Source organism: Homo sapiens, chromosome 5 (assembly GCF_000001405.40).
Source record: "Homo sapiens chromosome 5, GRCh38.p14 Primary Assembly".
Taxonomy (NCBI): Eukaryota; Metazoa; Chordata; class Mammalia; order Primates; family Hominidae; genus Homo; species Homo sapiens.
Genome location: NC_000005.10, coordinates 30,788,692 through 30,807,388, shown reverse-complemented (window position 1 = coordinate 30,807,388; position 18,697 = coordinate 30,788,692). Strand labels below are relative to the sequence as shown.

General features: G+C 35.6%; 1 long non-coding RNA gene across 1 annotated transcript; it reads left to right on the top strand.

Annotated features, from left to right (window-relative positions):
* The first annotated feature begins 16,729 nt into the window (after positions 1 to 16,729).
* LOC124900952 (uncharacterized) lies at positions 16,730 to 18,697 on the top strand. Its single transcript, XR_007058713.1, has 2 exons — positions 16,730 to 16,884; positions 18,568 to 18,697. It is a non-coding gene; the product is annotated as an uncharacterized LOC124900952 (long non-coding RNA).

Genomic DNA, 18,697 nt, shown 5'->3' with positions numbered 1-18,697 from the left:
TACGAGTAGGAAAACGGCTGACAGTTGATGCCATTGATTGCATTCCTGAAGGTTTACACAGGGATGGTATATTCTAGATAAATATGAGACAAGTGATAGAAAAAAAAAATGACTTTATAGGGGAGACAGCAGCCAAAACAAATTCAGGGAGGAAAAATGGAGCACGAGACTTCTGAGATTTCAAGGACTTTGGAATGGCTGGGGATCAGGATGTTGGCTGGTTAGTGGTAGAGATGAGTTCAAAGGTAAATAAGGGGATAATCAAGAAGATGACCTTGATTGCCAAGTTAAGGAGTTTAGATTCAATCATGAAGGCAGTGGAGAGCCATGGAAGGAATTTTAGCAGGCGTCTGACATGGTTAGATTTGCCTAGGGCTAGCCTGTGTTGAGGAAATAAGATGTAAAGTTTGAATACTTTTTAAACATCACGGTTGCTGTTTTCCACTCAGAAGCTTCAAACTAATAATAGAAAAATTTGAACAACTAAATTTAACTTAAAAATCATTTTTTTACATCTGTAAGTTTGTCATTTATATTATAAAACAGTGTGGAGACATTATTATGAATATATCGATTTTTGTCTTAGATATTCCTGTTATATTAAAAAAGTTAATAAATAAAAAGCACTACAGCTGCTGAAAATAGAATCAGTACAAATAAGTAAAGTCAGAAAAGAGAAGAGTTAACTTTGCAGTGAAGTTATACGATGGGAACCGAACTGGTTCTATTGCTCAGAAGAGACGTGTGTATTCAGAAGTGAAGTAAATCATAAAGTTTAAACATTCTGTGTGTCCATAGTCAATTTTTTCTGTTTCAAAATTCTCAAAAATAAGTATTTTATAGATATACTGTTTTTGCTATTCAAAGCAATGCAAACAGTAATAGTTGTATATCAAGTGTGCTCAGATTTAAATAAACCTTTTTCTCATATTAATTTGCAGTGCTTTTCAGCTTGCAAAATTATTTTCCATTTATGTTTCCTACTCATGACACATCCCTGTGATACAGACTGTACAGCTCTTTTTTTTTTTTTTTTTTTTTTTTTTGAGACAGAGTCTCACTCTATCGCCCAGGCTGGAGTTCAGTGGTGCGATCTCCGCTCACTGCAACCTCTGCCTCCCGGGTTCAAGTGATTCTCCTGCCTCAGCCTCCCAAGTAGCTAGGACTACAGGCACCTGCCACCATGCCTGGCTAATTTTTCGTATTTTTGGTAGAGATGAGGTTTCACGGTGTTAGCCAGGATGGCCTCGATCTCCTGACCTCGTGATCTGCCTGCCTTGGCCTCCCAAAGTGCTGGGATTACAGGCATGAGCCATCGTGCCCGGCCGCTACAGCTCATTTTTACAGATGAGAAAACTGAGGCTGGAAGAAGATAGTAGTAAATTAATCATGGGAACACAGAGAAGCTGGACAAATTGAGATTGGAATCTGAGCTTGAATCTAAAGCTCAAGACTCTCTGGTTTGTTTGATTTTGCTTTGACTATCGTACCTTTTGTTTTTCAAGACAGCATAACAGCCAACCTAGGGCAGCCAGTTCACACAGTCAGGAATTAGGTGTCCAGCTGTAGGCCTGTGCCGTGGATGCCCATGTGAGTCTGGCACAGTCTAGTGGACCCATTGCCTTGTGCTCCAGCCTGCATGACAGAATGAGACACCATCTCAAAAAAAATAAAATAAAATGGCTTATGCATATGTTACTGCATCTCATTTTTATAGCAATTGGGTAAACTGAAGGTATTTTATATTCATAGTAAGGATGAGTAAACCAGGCTTTTTAAAAATTGAGTTGTTTCAGAAAAATCTAACATTTAGTAAGTTGTACAAATAGAACTTCTGTAGATGAACCTTGTCATTAGGCTTTTAATTGCATTTCCTTTGATGTTTCAGCTCCTGGAGAGGAGGGTAATTTTGCCCTTGGTTCTTTGCCCTTGGATCTTTGATATCTTTTACCTTTCCTTGCTGGCCGAGGTGAAGATTGGAATTTCTCCCAGTATTCATGTGACTAAACACCTAGGTCACAGTGTTGAGTACATTTCTTCCAAGGAGTTGATTATCAGGTATCACTGCTTTCTACCCAATGGAGGCGTTTCTCACTGTCTAAACTTATGTAGACTTGGTGAGATAAGAATACCAGTTCCTCCGGACTTTTGAATGCTGTATTTTAAACTAATGCCTATTCTCTCAGAGGTCAGTACTGAGCTACACAGGAAGCTACATTACTTGGCTTCCTGGATTCAGCTGTGTCTTGCCCATCTGGTGGACAGCAGCACCTTCCCTCCTCCATTGCCTGGCTAACTCCTACTCATTCTACTCTTGGCCTGACATCTCCTTCTACCAAAGCCCTTTCCAGACACGGTTAATGTTGATTCAGATTTCTGTTCTGTAAGTTCTTGTTTCCATGACAGTGGTTTCCACATTGTGTTGTAAATGTCTATTTCTCAGGCTAAGACAGCACCGCCTTGGATGGAGAGCCTGTGTTTCCATCTTCCTAGCTCCAGTGCCACCTACAGGGCCTGGAACAGAGTTCTGTATGTAGCCAATGAATGCACGTCAAACTAAAAACTGCCTGAATGAATAAAAATAATGAACGTTGGAAATACTGAAAATACAAATCCATAAATACATGTCTTACATGCATATATAGACATTTTCTATGGGTAACTTAAATATTTGGTCACTTTAAAATGATTGGAAGAGCCTGTTTAGTGAGAGCATATCAGGAAACACTATATCCATTTGGGGAAACAAGATAAAGAGAAATGAACTAATGTTATTAAAGACCATATCCTAGGATGGATTAAAATTGCCTTATGCAGGCCGGGCGCTGTGGCTCGTGCCTGTAATCCCAGCACTTTGGGAGGCTGAGCCAGGTGGATCACCTGAGGTCGGGAGTTCGAGATCAGCTGGGCCACCATAGTGAAACCCCGTCTCTACTAAAAATAAAAAAAATTAGCCAGGTGTAGCAGCACACACCTGTAATCCAGGCTACTCGGGAGAGTGAGGCAGGAGAATTGCTTGAACCCAGGAGGTAGAGGTTGAGTGAGCTGAGATGGCGGCCATTGAGCTCCAGCCTGAGTGACAGAATGAGATACCATCTCAAAAAAAAAAAAAAAAAGGCGTATGCATATGTTACTGCATTTCATTTTTACAGCAATTGCGTAAACTGAAGGTATTTTATCTTCATAGTAAGGATGAATAAACCAGGTTTTTAAAAAATTGAGTTACCTTCAGAAAAATCTAGAATTTAGTAAGTTGTACAAATAGAACAGAATCCCAGGAAAGAAAAGACTTGAAAGTCCAGTAGACTCAAATCTCAATGCTCACACTACATTTAATATGTCTAATACTCGGATGAGTATGTACTCTCCCTAAGAAGCTTTTGTGTGTGTTTGCATCTGTGCAGATGGGCATGGCCATGTGTGAGAACCATGGAGCTGAGAATGCCTGAATCACAGGTTTGTTGCAAAGAAACATGAGCTTATATGCATAAAGTGTGTAGCCAAATTCCAGGTATTAATAGGCTGGGCAATGATTATTCTCTTGCATAGTCCAAGAATGAGAAGAGAGAAATCTTCTCTCTTCTCACTCTACTATGCTTCCATCAGAACAAGCAAATCACTTCCCCACTGTGGATACCAGTGGACCATTTGGGTCCTAGCTAGCTGCAAAGTAGCAAAGGATCACCCTCAAACTATTCTTGAGGGAGTTTACATCTAAAATGTTCCTTGAGGAATGACGGTAGTTCAAGGCAGGCCTAGAAATGAGGTTCTGTCTGTAATGTGCCTGGGGAGATCCAACCATGGGACAACACTCAGACCAACCAGAGTTGACTCTCACCCATTGTAGCCTGACATGTAGAACATCTGACTGCGCTGTATCAAGTTTGCGTCATCTTCATTGTGGTCTCTGCATGCTGAGAATCATTTTAGGCATTTGGAATTCTCCAGAGCCAGAGGACTAAGCAAGAAATTTTCTAAGCTTTCCCTGGCATAAATAGGTTCTGTATCATCCTGTTAGTTCAGAGCTGACATTGAGACAGAAATTGGGGATCTCTTTAAGCAATCACTGTCTTTATTATTGGGGAAAAACATCAGGCTCTCAGTTTGTATTTGCCCCTTTTATTTATTTAACTCCCCTAATTCACAAAGCGCTGGCTGACTAACTCACAGAGATAATCTATAAAAAAAAGGAAAAATTTGCTTACATAGTTCATATGGCATGGAAATACTGCCTACATGTGGAAAAAATTTTAAAATGTGACTAACTAATGAAGTATTTTTCTTTTTTGTAAATTGGAGGAGATTCATCAGACAAAGGGAAAAAATTAAGGCAGATAAAAAATATTTATCTATAGTGGCTGCCAGAGCATTGTACTTATGGATGCTACATTATCTGCCAAAAGCGTGCTCCTGTGCTTCTTAAGGCAGTAGGAGCTTTCAGGGGCAACTGGAGCTGCACTTTACAGGTCCTTTCAATGAAGTCAGTGTGAGCTCTCTGAATCAAAACACCTCAAAGGCTGTCGAAGTGAATGAGAATCAGATTCATCAAAAATGATAAAAAAAAAAACCCCATACAGATTAAGTAAAAGAAATCTTACCTCAGAGCGTTGTCAAGGATTGTCTCTGCTCCTTGGGGAGCTCAGCCCTGTGCAGGCAGCATTCATGGTAGAATTTCCCTTCTGCAGCCCGGCTTTTCCAAAGCCACCATAACTTGAATCAAAAGGCCTTGTGAAAATGGAAGTTGGCGTTGTTTAAACTTTCTGAGTTATTAGGGGATGCTCTTTCAAATAAAATTCACTTTAGATTATGAAAAACAATGATTTGCTTACAAAACAAAATTTAGGTGCCTCAGATAAGCTAAAATAGAATATTTTATTCATTGAGTGGGTGGGGAGGACTTCGGAGTTACTTTAAAAGGAACTGAAATAGTTTGAAGATTTTTTTACAAAGATATCTCATTTCATTGTGGAAAGATCTCTCACTGCTCTTATTGAAGATTTGCCTCTGTTAGTAATGATTTCTTACCTTTCCCTACAAATTCTATGATTCATTTCTGTTATAACATTCTCTGATTTATGAAAAGGTTCTTTTTTTTTAAAATCCAATCTTACCTGTGATTAGTCCTGCCCTACTTTCCTATGTCACCTTCAAAAAAGTGATAAAGCCCGAGTTTCCTCCAAAAATAGACATTATTTGAGCCTCCTTGTTCTATTGCTGTGGTGTCATTAGGGACTTATGTGGCAGTGCAGATAGTAAGAAGAAATATGTCATTTGGTTGTGAGGTCAGCCTAGTCTAGGGAGAAAAGAGCAATCTGGTGGTAAAACACCCTACAAAATAATATCTCTGATTCAGCTCACAGAAACCTCCCTGGAATTAAAAGACACCATCAACTTTTTTTTTTTTCCTGCTAACCAGGACTATATCTATCTGACCTAGATTATCAGACCATGAAAAGTAGATATGAGTTCCTTGCAAAGTAAAATCATAAAGTCTTGGGGCTAAAATGAAGCTTAACAGCTTTCTATTGCAATTCTTCTCCTTATTCTTGAATTTTGCCTTTAATGGCTTCTTCAGGTGGTTTTCTAGTCTTTTCAGGTACATTCCTTAACAAAAAACCCACTACTCATGAAAATTGAGCTCTTTGAGGGCATGGGCATTGCTTTTTAGTTTTTTCAATATTGTTATCACCTGAATCTAACCAATGCCTTGTACATATTAAAACTTCGCTCAAAATTTCTTGAATGAATTGATGAATAAATGTTCACTCTGAAGTACTCTTAATATATCTATATAGTAAGTGTAGCATTAAAAATACATAACCTGTCTTTTCAGCTCCTTCTCTCTTTATCCCTTCTTTTCTGTTTGCTCCCCCTGTCATCCAATGGTAGGCATAGAAATCACTCATGCTGGAAACAAGAATCTAATGGTTAGCTCTTTGTATACCAAAGGTAAATGCTTTGCCTATTTTTGCAACTAAAATGTTTAAAGGAGTCTTAATGGAATACCAGTTAAGAATTTACTAGCTAGGTGACCATTTTGTTTTTCTATATGCCTCAGTTTATTTATCTGTAAAACAAGGATAATAATTGTACTTATCTAAGATGATTAAGTGAAGAACCAAAACCATAATGTGTATAAAGTATTTCAGAACAGTATATAACATATAGTAAGCACTCAGTAAACATTAAAACATTGATGCCATATGAAACAGTGTTTTATTCATCTTTGAGTATTTTGGTTATCTCTTGTTGCATAATCAATCATTCCATGATTGTCTCTAATTTTCCTATACATTAACTGGGCTCAGTTGCATGGTTCTCACTTGAATCGCTTATATGTTTTTGCTGTCAGGTAGCTGAGAAGCAAGACATATCCAAATACTTGCCTAAGGAAAACGTCTAAGAATACACAGACCCATGACTGGTTGTTGACTGGGAGCTCAGCTGGGACTTTCAACTAGAATGTCTCCGTTTAGCTTCTCCATGGGATTTGAGTTTCTTGTAGTGTGGTGGCTGGGTCTTGAGGGGGAGATTCTCAAGAGCAAGCACTGCAGGAGATGCAACTGGAAGCTGCAAGGCTTGTTATGACCTCGTCTCAGAAATTACATGGCATATCTTCTGCCATATCCTGTTGGTCCAAATAATCACAGAGCCTGCACAGGTTCAATGGAGTAGATAAGAATATTTCATTTCCTGAGTGCAGGCAGGGCAAGTTTCCATTGCAGAATAGCATGTGGAATACAATAAATTATTGGTACCATTTTTGGAAAATTTCATCAGCTACATTGACAACTGTAATTTTTTCTTTTACATTTGAGATGAAATTTATTTCTCTATTACTTCTTTTTTTCACATATTTAGGGTCATATATAAAAGGTTAAACCTTCAATACAGTTTTTATTTGGTGGGCCTTTAAAAGTTTGAGGATGGTTAATATGCCTGTAGTGGGTATTTTTCTGGATAAATATTTACAGATGCTTAAAATTTTCTATAGAAAGACCTGTTTAAAAGATCTTTTGATTTTTATCTTCATCTTAAGGATAGAATGTGGTAGCTGAAGTAGGCCAAAGAAATTATTAAAAGAAATATACCATCTACAGTTGCTTTCCTTAGACTGGGTTGAATAGACTCACTGGTCATTCATTTTGCCTTTCGTTATTAATTTCAGATCATCCGACAGAAAGAAATTTGAAGTAAAATCATTTATACGATGCATTATTTAGTTATTCATATCCATATCTCTAGCCTATCACATTCCCAACGTAATAATAAATAATTTATAGGCCTCAGCTCACACAGCAGTTTCACATACAATGTCTCATTTGATCTTCACAATACAAGTTGTGTTATTCTAGTGCCTTTCTTCCCATAAAGGTATTGAAGCTCAAACAGGTAAAAAGATTATTCCAAAAAGAGAGTAATTATTTGAGTTACAAACATCTACTTGTTGTAAGGTCATAAATGTTCATTTGAGAGACATGATTTCCTGGACATAAAGTGTAGAATAATAGACACTGGAGACTAGGAAGAGTGAGAAGGTGGGAGTGGGGTAAGGGATGAGAAATTATTTAATAGGTACAATGTACGCTATCTGGGTGATGGCCACATTAAAAGCCCAGACTGCACTACTACATGATATATGCATGTAATAAAACTGCCCTTGTACCCACTAAATCTATACCAAAACAAACAAAAATCTGGCAAAAAAAGTTCATTCATTTATCAAATTTCTGATTCTTCCATTAGTGTATTAAAAATTAATAGTGGGTCCAACACTCATTCTGAATATCTATCCACTTGATTCACTTGGCTAACACCCAACATAGTATCCAGAAAAGCTATAATTACTTTCCCAGCTTCCCTTGAGTCTAAGCATTACCATGTGATACATTCCAGGTCAACGAAACATAAATGGAATTCCTCTTGGAGGATTCTGGAAAGATTTCTACTCTTTGCTGAAAAGGAAAGATGAAGGTGGTATTGTTCTTTCCACTGTCTTTCCTACCATGGCTGTAGTCAAAATGCTCAGAACTGCAGCCATTATCTAGTATTTTCCTATGAGGGAAAAGACATGGAAACTATAGTGATGGTGGTTTTTGTGTTGTTGAACCACTGATCCAGTAACAGTAAACAATTTCTTTTAGAAATTTTTTCAAACAAATGAACAAATACACATTTGTTAAGAGGTACAATCTTTGTGATTTAAGCTGCTAATGATTGGATTATTAGAATTTAATAATCTTCTTGATTTAAGCTGCTAATGATTGGATTAGAAGCAGAATGCATTTTTGGTCAAAATAACATTCCTCCTCTTTGCCTCCCTCCTTTCTTCTCTTTATTCTTCCTTCCTAATGATTCTTTTTCTTTCAGCATGTGATGGGTTTGGAAGGTATGAATAATACTAAAGAATAGATTTGCTATTTCGTAGGAGTTTGATGAATATTGTTAAGAGATTTTATAGATGATCTTTCATTTTTTGGAAAAGAAATACACATAAAGAAAACAATGAGAATGATAAAGCCCTGAACATGAAAATGCTGTAATTGGCTGATCAATTATGGAAGTACCAATTATCTTTTAATATTATTAACTCAATACACATATCTAGTACATTTATTGTTCAGAAATAAAAAATGGTCATATGTCAGTCATAACATTGGGAAAGATATTTGGAAACATTTTTGTTGTTGTTTCGACAAGGTGTACAATGAACCACTGATTCATTACAATGTATTAGATAAATTATGCTGTTGTACACAAAGTCTTAATGCCTGTAAAAATAAATTCTGATAAAGATTGATAATATATTCATATTGGTTAGTCATATCTTCTTCCCTTACCGTCTTCCTCTTCTGTACTTCAACTTGAAACCTGTAAAATTTCTTATTGGGCACCGGCACAGGCTATTCCCTCTGAATGAAGCATATTTCCTCTCTTTACTGATTAACTTGTATTCATCCTGAAATCTCCCTTAAGGCTTTCCTTCCTCTGGGAAGATTTCTCTGATGCATAAAGTTAACTCTTTTCCCATATACTTCCATAGGGCCTTGTTTTTCCTCAATTACGTGTTGCAAGCTGCTTGTTTACTTGTCAGTTCCAACCTAAACTCTAAGTTCTATTAGGTAGAACCTTTCATCTCTGTATCCTCAGAGCCTTCCCTATTACACAGTGGGTACTTAAAACTTGTTGAATAATTGAAAGAATCAATTTAATTGTCATAATTCTTATATTTGCTTTCAACAAAAATAAAGTTTTAAATTATTTGAAAGAAGCAAGTCTACATCACATGGTTTTTTTCTTAATCACAAAAAGAAATACTCCTTTCTTTTGAAGTTTTCCCCTTTTTTATATTCAAAACAGTCTCTTGTCTAATTTTGCAATTTCTTCTTTGACATTCTTGATATGCCAGAGAGCTATCAGTCTTCTCATTTGCCAATCTTTGTTTGCCAAGTGTGAATGTTCAAAGCCAGACTAATTTCCACATAACATATACTATGTTTTCCTACCTAAAAGATCAAAGAAAAGCACTATGCTTGACATGATTTATTTTTGACAAATATGTGTAGCCTGCTTTAATATGTGAAAACATTTTTCATTAGGTTCCTGAGGGGGAGAATTATGTCTCACTAGATACATATCCTCATTTTAACAAAGTTTTACTCTCTCCAATTTTTTTTTGTTCTGGTTGGTCACCTAGCATCTCAAAAGAATGCATACTCAGGTATAAATGTGTCTGAGATATATTTCACAGTGTATGATATAAGTGGTTTTAAAACCTCTAACATGTTGAGGCTGTTTAAACTTAATTTAAAATTCCCTCTTGAGTTTTTCTTTGCAGGATTTCTTAACTAGATTTGCATATCATTAACTAGTAGTCAAATAGACACTATAAACTTCAGCTCTCCTTTGCTCACCTTTCAAATTAGCTAATTTATCTATATTTTCTTTTCTTAACCTTCTGTTTTCCAATTCACGTATCTAATTATTTGCATTTTTATGTGTTTTATTTTGTGGTATGGCATCTCCAACATTATTCTCATTTATTTATATTATTTTGTATGACATCTCGAATAATTGTGACTTTTTTGAATTATTCAGCTCTCTTAGAATAATTCAAAATTGAAACCCATTAATCTGCTTGTTTTTTTCCCCTCCTCACATTTTTTTGGGATGATAATGATGCATAGCTCCTGCTCTCCTGGCACCCCTTTGCTATTGAAGAGTACGCAGCACTACTGCATTACTAATCAATGATTGGACATCATTTTTTTCTTTACTATTCAATTTCATTAATTATCTATATCAAAATAAGCCTCAAAATACTTCTAATATCTCTTGTATGAATCCATTTATCTCCTGGTCTTTTCTACTCTCCTGCTGGGCTTTCATCAGATCTCACCCACCATAGTGAGAAAACCTACTAACTATTCCATCCCATCCCATCATACTTCTAAGGAATTTTTTTTAAAGATTACTTTGGAAATCTAATCATAGTTGTTCTCTGCATGAAAACCTACAGTTATTTCCATCTCTCTTGGGAAACGTTACAGTTTCTAATGTCGGTAGGCTCCAGCCCTACTCATTTTTTTGTGTGTCTTCAAACAAATCTTATTTTCTTGCCTTCCTGATCTTCTGCCCTCTGCATACAATGGGCCCTTTGGCTGGAAAATCCTCCTCTCTAACCCTACTGCTCGTGCTCACTTTCTGCTTCTTCCCAAGGCTAACTCATCCTCCCGGTCTCAACTGCAAAATTCTTCTTTGCAGCCTAGACTCCACCCTCTCCTCCCAAGCAGGTTTAGTCCCCAGCCCACATTTTTCCATGGAGTCCTCTACTTTCCTTCTCCTAGGCCTTTATAAAAAAATTGCTTTTGCTTTTTAAAATTATTATTATTTTTAATTGGAAAATCAAAATTATGTACATTTGTTGGGGTACAAAGTGATGTTTTGATATTTGTATACAACGTAGTATGATTAAACCAAATTAATTAACAGATCCACCACCTCACCTTCTTATCATTTTTGTGATGAAACATTTGAAATTTACTCCCTTAGTTATTTTGAATTGTACAATACATCATAATTATTGGAGATAGTCACTCCACTACGCAATAGACTCCAAAGGTATTCCATCTGTTTACCTGAAACTCTTGGGCCATCATCTCCCCATTCCCTCCTTCCTTCCCACTCCCAGCCTCTAGTTACTGTCATTCTATTTTCTGCTTCTATGAGTTTGACATTCTTAGACTCCACATATAAGTGAAATCATGTGATATATGCCTTTCTTTCTGTCCCTGGCTTATTTTGCTTAGCATAATGTCTTCCAGGTTCTTCCATGTTACAAATGACAAGATTTCCTTCATTTTTAAGGCTGAATAGTATTCCACCGTGTACATATGCCACACTTTTAAAATCCATTTATCTGTTGATGGACACTTAGGTTGATTCCTTATCTTGGCTATTGTGAATAATGCTGTAATGAACATAGGAGTGCAAAAAATATCCCGTTGACAGATTGAATTCAATTCCTTTGGATATATGTACCCAGAAGAGAGACTGCTGGATCATATGGTAATTCTATTTTTAGTTTTGGAAGAATCTCCATACTGTTTTACATAATAACTGTACTAACTTACATTACTACCAACACTTTACAAGGTGTCCCTTTTATTTGCATCCTTGCCAATACCTTTTATCTTTCATCTTTTTGATACTAGCCATTCTAAAAGGTGTGACATGATATCTATGGAACCACAAAAGGTCTCAAGTAGCCAAAATAATCTTGGATACAAAGAACAAATCTGGGGTCATCACACATTCAGATTTCAAAAATATTATAAAGCAATTATAATCAAAACAGCATGACAGTAGAATAAAAACAGACACATCAACCAATGGAATGAATAGAAAGCTGAGAAATAGACTCATGCATTTATAGTGAATTGATTTTCAACTAAGGTGTCCAGGAACACATGATTGGCCAGCCTCTGCTGTAAATGGTATGGGGAAAACTGGATATCTACATGCAGAAGAAGGAAATTAATTCCTTATCTCACGCTATATATAAAAATAAAATGGATCAAATACTTAAATATGAGACCTGCAACTATAAAACTACTAGGAAAAAAAGAGAAAAGGCTCCATTTTTGTCAATGATTTTTTAAAAAATATAAATCCAAAAGCACAGAGAACAAAAGCAAAAATAGACAAATGGAATTGCAAATGGAATTAATTTGATTTGAAATCAAATTAAAGGTGTCTGCACAGCAAATAGAACAACTAACAAAGTGAAGAGACAATCCAGAGTGGGAGAAAATATTTGCAAACCATGTATCTGATAAGGGGTTAATATCCAAAATAAATAAAAAAACTCAAACAATTCAATAGCAATAAAGCAAATAACCCCATTTAAAAGTAAGCAAAAGACCTAAACAGACAATTCCTAAAAATACATACAATGTTTAACAGGTTTATGAAAAAATGCTCTGCATCACTAATCATTAGGGACATGCCAATTAAAACCATAGTGAGATATAACCTTCTTCTAGCTCTTACCCCGTTGAACTCTAGTGGCCTCTTGGCTGTGCTGCCCTTATTGTGAGGTTAGACTGCCCATATTTTTTCAACCCATCTGGAAGCATATAATCCTTATTTATAAAATAAATTAATTCATAGATTACTTTCTGTATAGTTTTTGATGATTTCCTATTTTCCACTTGGCAATATGTCTCTTTTGTCTTCCTTTAGGGAGGTAAAATGCTGCAATTTTTTTCTGTCAATGTTATCAGCTTTCTAAAATTATTAATTTGAATTGTATTTTTTTATTTTTCTCATACTCCTTTTAGTATTTCAGACTCCACACTCTTGTGATTACCATCTTTCAAATGTTCTTTCTGGAGAAAAAAATGAGTCACTGTTTGATTTTTATGTGCACTGATGGTGACCAAAAATGTTACTTTATTATGCATAGCGCATAGTGCCTTAGATTTATTGAATTGGAAAAGTCAAATTGTTTGATTTCTAATTCTGCTAATGTAATGCTGTTGGGCCAAAGGGAGGTAGAGAGAAGTCTTAAAATTGCATGCCATTTGTATTAATTAATAATTGGTTTAAGTCTCTAGTAAAGATGCAATATCCCATTAATTATATTGGGATCCCACTATTATGGAGTGAAAATAAGGTAAAAGTTATGTGGCAGGCTATTTTCCCAATAAAGCCTTGCACAACAGGTTTAAAAAATTAGTAAATTGGGTTTTATCAGTACATGTAATAATTCAAGTTTTCCTTGATTTGAAACTACCAATATGAGTGAACAGAGAAGTAAGTTTATATTACACAGTATTAAAGACAATTTATAGTTACTTTTTCAGAGGTATATTTTATTAGTGAAATTTCACAACAGACAAGAACATGAAATAGGATACTGACATTTTGTAAACTCATTGTACTAGGCTAAAAAAGGAAATTCTGTTATAGAGACATCTTTCTTTCCAACTTTAAATTGTTCAGGAAGATGTATTTGAATTCACTGACCTTGTATTTACTTACCAATAGCAAGTAACAGATGAATGAAAGAATATAAAGACATTGAGTTTAAATATCTAACCAGGAAGTGGTTTCTTAGGATAGTTATGCAGGCAATACATTCACTTGTCTTTTCAAATTATTTTCCTTTGTCCAGCGAACTAACCATAGCTAACTACCAGGTACAGTCTTTTAGTAAAGACTATTTGGTTATCAGCAGTGCCTCTTATTTCTGCTCTCCAATCAGCAGATCCTCTCTTTTCTGCTCCCCAAGTATAGGCTCTAGACAACCATGTTTCTGCTGTGCAGTTCTGCTTACCCACGTTCATAGTCATGACGTGTCTGCTGTGTTGAACCTCAGTATATCGAAAACTTAATCTGCAGGACAGATCTCTGGATGGCTTTGGACTGACCCAATTCGCTCCCACTTTCCTGCATGTAGTTCTTGGAAAAACTGTAGAATGTGCTGGGACTACATTCATCCTGAGATCTAGGCAAAAACTGCCTGAAACTGTCTGGGTCTTGTTCTTGTCCCAACCAGAAAATGTAACATCTTGAGCTAGGGAGGAACTGTCTGAGACAAATTGGGCTTTGTTCCTCCTTCTCCTGGAAGCAGGATGTCCTTCAAATCTTTGCCCAGTGAGCCATATTGCCCTGAGGTATATAACTTGGGTTGGAACAACTTTTGAGGTCCCTCAGCCACAATACAAGTGGAACACCCAAAGTTCAGCCTTCCTCCATCTGCCCCAGGCAGCTTTCTTGAGCCTTGAGGGACTGGATCACAATGGATCCTAGACTTCTTTTGCTGCTTGCTGCCTATCTGTAAGTAATAAATCTATTTTATGTAACTTGTTGTGTGTGAGTGTTCTGTCTCATCGGACTCAGGCAATTGATAAAACTATAGCCCAAGGTGCAGTGGGCAAAAGTGTTTGGAGTCCTATTTCTGGTGGTTGGTATAGTGATAATCTTTGCTATTCTCCATGCAGTGGGAATTCTCTCTTGGGGTTGGTAATTGGAGAACCTGGTCCACACTACATTGTGTATAGTAGAGGCTCAACAACTTTTGAATGAACGTGTACATGAAAATAGGCACCTGACTTAAGCTGAGCTATTCAAATCTTGTCACTTGAAAATTGCAACTGAGAAATATGGTTTTGGTGGTTACGTCACATCAATAGTAGAGTTCAACAGGAAAAAATCTACAAGTTGCAATGCCAACTTACCCATGCCTGGTCAGGTTCGTATTTCACTGAAGTGTGGTTGCCTAGCCTTACTTTAATTATAAGAGATACTCCAGTGTATGTATTAAACAAGTTACTCTTTCTTACAGCCGCGAACTCATGCACTGTGCAACTAAACCATCACTTTGATCTTCTGCAAGTGTTTATGCATGTGGGGGTAGAAATAGATGGCACATATGCACATAAATATGAGCACGTATTGTGTTTCTCTAATTATAACTGACACAAATGACAAACTAACTGTAATATGTATGTGTGAATGGGTGTTATTGATTAACCTAGAATTACACATATATTTGTCACTTTTTGTATGTGTGTCTCAGCATAGAATATATATGTATCTGGATATAAAAATTTGGGAGGGCATGTTTTAAAAATTAGCATGGGCTATGTGTATGCACATAGATGTATTTAAGAAAATGTATGATTATAATGTATGTTCTCATTTATTATGGGTTCTCATTATGGATTGAAGGCTATTGTGCCCCCTTTCATCATGTCAGTATTATAGAGGAAGCTTAGTTTTCTGTTTATGTGAATATGTGTGTTGTATTTGTTAATTTAAAAATCATTCTGAGTAAAGAACAACAAAAATAACATGAAAAAACCAAGGTATTTATCACTTGTTTATTCGTTACTTCTTCCTCTTTCTCCTCCTCCATTAGCCTCATCTGTTCTGATTCATTAAACTAAGCATCTTATGTGCAACATCTTTCCATTTACAATTTCTTCCACTTAAAAGAAAGAAATATTAATCTCTAATTTGGATGTTTTCATTTCCTTTCTATTATATTCTTTTATATGAAAACATTGTAGTTACTTTGACTAATGCCATTTTGATTAATCTTTTAAAAATATTATAGAACCTTTTAAGAACAGAATATTCCCAGTTTGCTGATTATTAGATCTCTAATTTCTGTTTAATTTTTATTAATTTCTGTTTAATTTTTATATATTGGGAATGATGAATAGATGATAGATTACTGTAAATCTGTTCTTCTAAAATGGAAACATCTTAAAACATTTCTAAATAATTATAAATATGTAACTCTGAATTATAATTGATACATTTTCCTGAAATTAAGGGGTGTTTTTAAGATGTGTAGATAAGAAACTCAAGATTTGCCAAATTTCTGTTTTGCAGAAGGTCTTATTCCAGGGTTGGTAATTATCATTTAATGTAGAGAAGCTTTAAGGTCTGGATCCCATATACCCTAGAATTCTAATTCCAATGTTGCAAATTTCTTTATATGAAAGTTGGAAGGACTACATGAGAGTATTTCAAGATTTGGCATCAGAATTTTTTTATCTCATTTTGGGAATAGTGCAGGATGTTTGTTTTTTCCCAAACCTCAGAATATTCTGGAAATGATTTTCAGTAGGGCGAAGGTAGGGTCAGTTATTCAGAGGGTATTGACTAATGCTTTATTGAGGTTTTGTGGAGGTAGTTTTAATGTTGGCAATTTTTCCATTTGCATCTTTCTCATCTCCCAACCTTATATTCATTAATTAATGAAGAGACTTTAGAATTTGAAAGGACAATGAGATAAAACAAAGGGTCACATTAGACTCAGGAGCAATCACAAGACACAGGAAAATGCTTCTTTCTTTGAAGAAGTCCAAAAGAAGTCCAACACCATTAACAGAGCTCCCAGAATGTCCTTTTTCTTCAACATTGCCAAAGCCTGTCATTCCCCGATAAACCCATAAATCCCAGGTTTTTAAAAATGAGTAATCTAAAAAAAAAAAAAATCAAGTGTATCCTGCTAAAAGTATTTTGTAGATAAGTGCTCTCCATCACATTTCTGCTAGTATCTTTACCAGGAAGTCTAGTTAAGAGCCAGGTTTACAATGGCATTGCCTATGGTCATTATGTATTGTTTTATCATTTTAGAAAAGTTTGTGTTTCTTGGTTTTAATCAGTTTGTCATAGTTGTCTACAGTATTTTTTTTTTTTTGTATTTTAGGGTAATCCAAGATGGACCAGAAATTCAGGATCTTCACGGTTAACGTGGTGGCAGTCAGAAAGAAATGCAATAGAACTAATTTAAGTTCTAGATCATGATAGCCTGTGATATGGTTATGATCTGCTATTGTTCGTGATTTCCTGTACCATCATATGGTAATGACAGTTTGTTATGTAATGGAGATGACTGCACCAGACCTATGTAAAAATTTAGTTTCTACTAAAAATATTCTTCTTGAAGCTTATGAGACTATTTTCAAGGAAATAACTTCCTAAAGAAATAGGCCCCTGGTGAAACACCAGGGAATAAAGGAAATAAATTGAGAAAAATACCACAAGCTTATTTTTATTGATCCCATTCCCGTGGGTTTAAATGTAATTTTTAATTAGAATGTATCACAGAAAATGCCCTTTTCAATTTATTTTAAAAGATTTGATCATATTTTTGCCCTTTTAACTTATAGCTAGAGCAACACATACTGTGAAAAGTTTAGAAAAGTTAAATCTAAAGTCTGCCCTTGACATGACTGGTCAATTATTTCTTAAATAAATGATAATAAAAACTTAAAAAACAGGTAAATAGAGCTGGCTTTCCTGTCTCCAATTGAGTACTTTGATATGTAATTCACAAAATTATTAAATTTTATAAAATACACTATTATTTTCCTAAATTTGATGATGTTGATTTTAGGAAAAGTTGATCATATAAATGCTAAGATAGATTGATGAGTATATATGAACTATTTAATTGTTATATTTGTTCAAACAATTCAGTGTAGTTATTATCTTTGCCTGATCAACTACAATAAAAATGGACTTTTTTGTTGGCATTGACATAAGAAGCATCTAAATTTTCAGAGGTGCAAACAATTTTTCTTTAACTTCAATTTTTTTGTTTCCATTTTTTAATAGTTTGACAATGAAATTCTACATGCAATTGGAATTTTGAGTTAATCTATTACATTTTAAATAATTTGAAGCTTGATAAGTTATAATATAAAAATGATAAATATCTGTGCTGTTACTGGGCTGGTTTACCCTCAGGAGATCAATTCCTCGTTTTTTCCCAGAAAGGAAAATCACAAGGGTATTGATCCAGCAGGAAGTGTTTCTTCCATGTTAGTTGGCTTCTAGATGGATTTAGCTAATGGGGGGGTACTGGTTGGCACTGGTGGAGAAGCCAGGTTGCTTTTCCTCTTCCTCTTTGCTTTAGGTAGCACTTCTAGCAATAGCTGTATCACCTCCATGGGTCCAAGCCCTGCTTGAAAGGTACACATTGGCCCCAGTATCTTGGAAATCCCTGGCTGGCTCCAGGCTCCATAATATTACCCACTCCCTGTTGTCTCTGTAGCCTGTGAGTAGTAGTGACCTTATGTCTTTTTAAAATCTCAGCATTGCTTCCTCCCCCTATTTGGCTATTCAGTTCTGTCATCAGATATATATAAAATTTGCTGCATTAAATTTTATATCAGTTCCAAATACGTTGTTTCTGTTTCCTGGTCGAGCCCTGGCTGATACATTCTTCATAATAATTTTAAAGAATGCTAATCTATAATTTAAAATCATTATAAATTGGAAAACTCATTGGAAAATGTGCATTTCTTATGTTTAGTTTAGATGATTGTTCTGGACTGAATGTGTATGTCCTCCCAACCCTACCCCCAAACTCATAAGTTGAAACCCTAACTTCTGATGTTATAGTATTAATAGGTGGGGCCTTTGGGAGGGGATTAGGTCATGAAGGTGGAGCCCTAATAAATGGGATTAGCGCCCTCATAAGAAGAGACACACTTATGCTTCTCTCTCTTTCCCTCTGTCTCTACTCTCTGCCATGTGAAGACACAATGAAGAGATGACCATGTGCAAACCACATAGAGTACCCTTACCAGACACTAGAGCTGGCAGAAATTTGATCTTGGACTTCCCAGTCTCCAGAACTGTGAGAAATAAATGTTTGTTGTTTATGAAA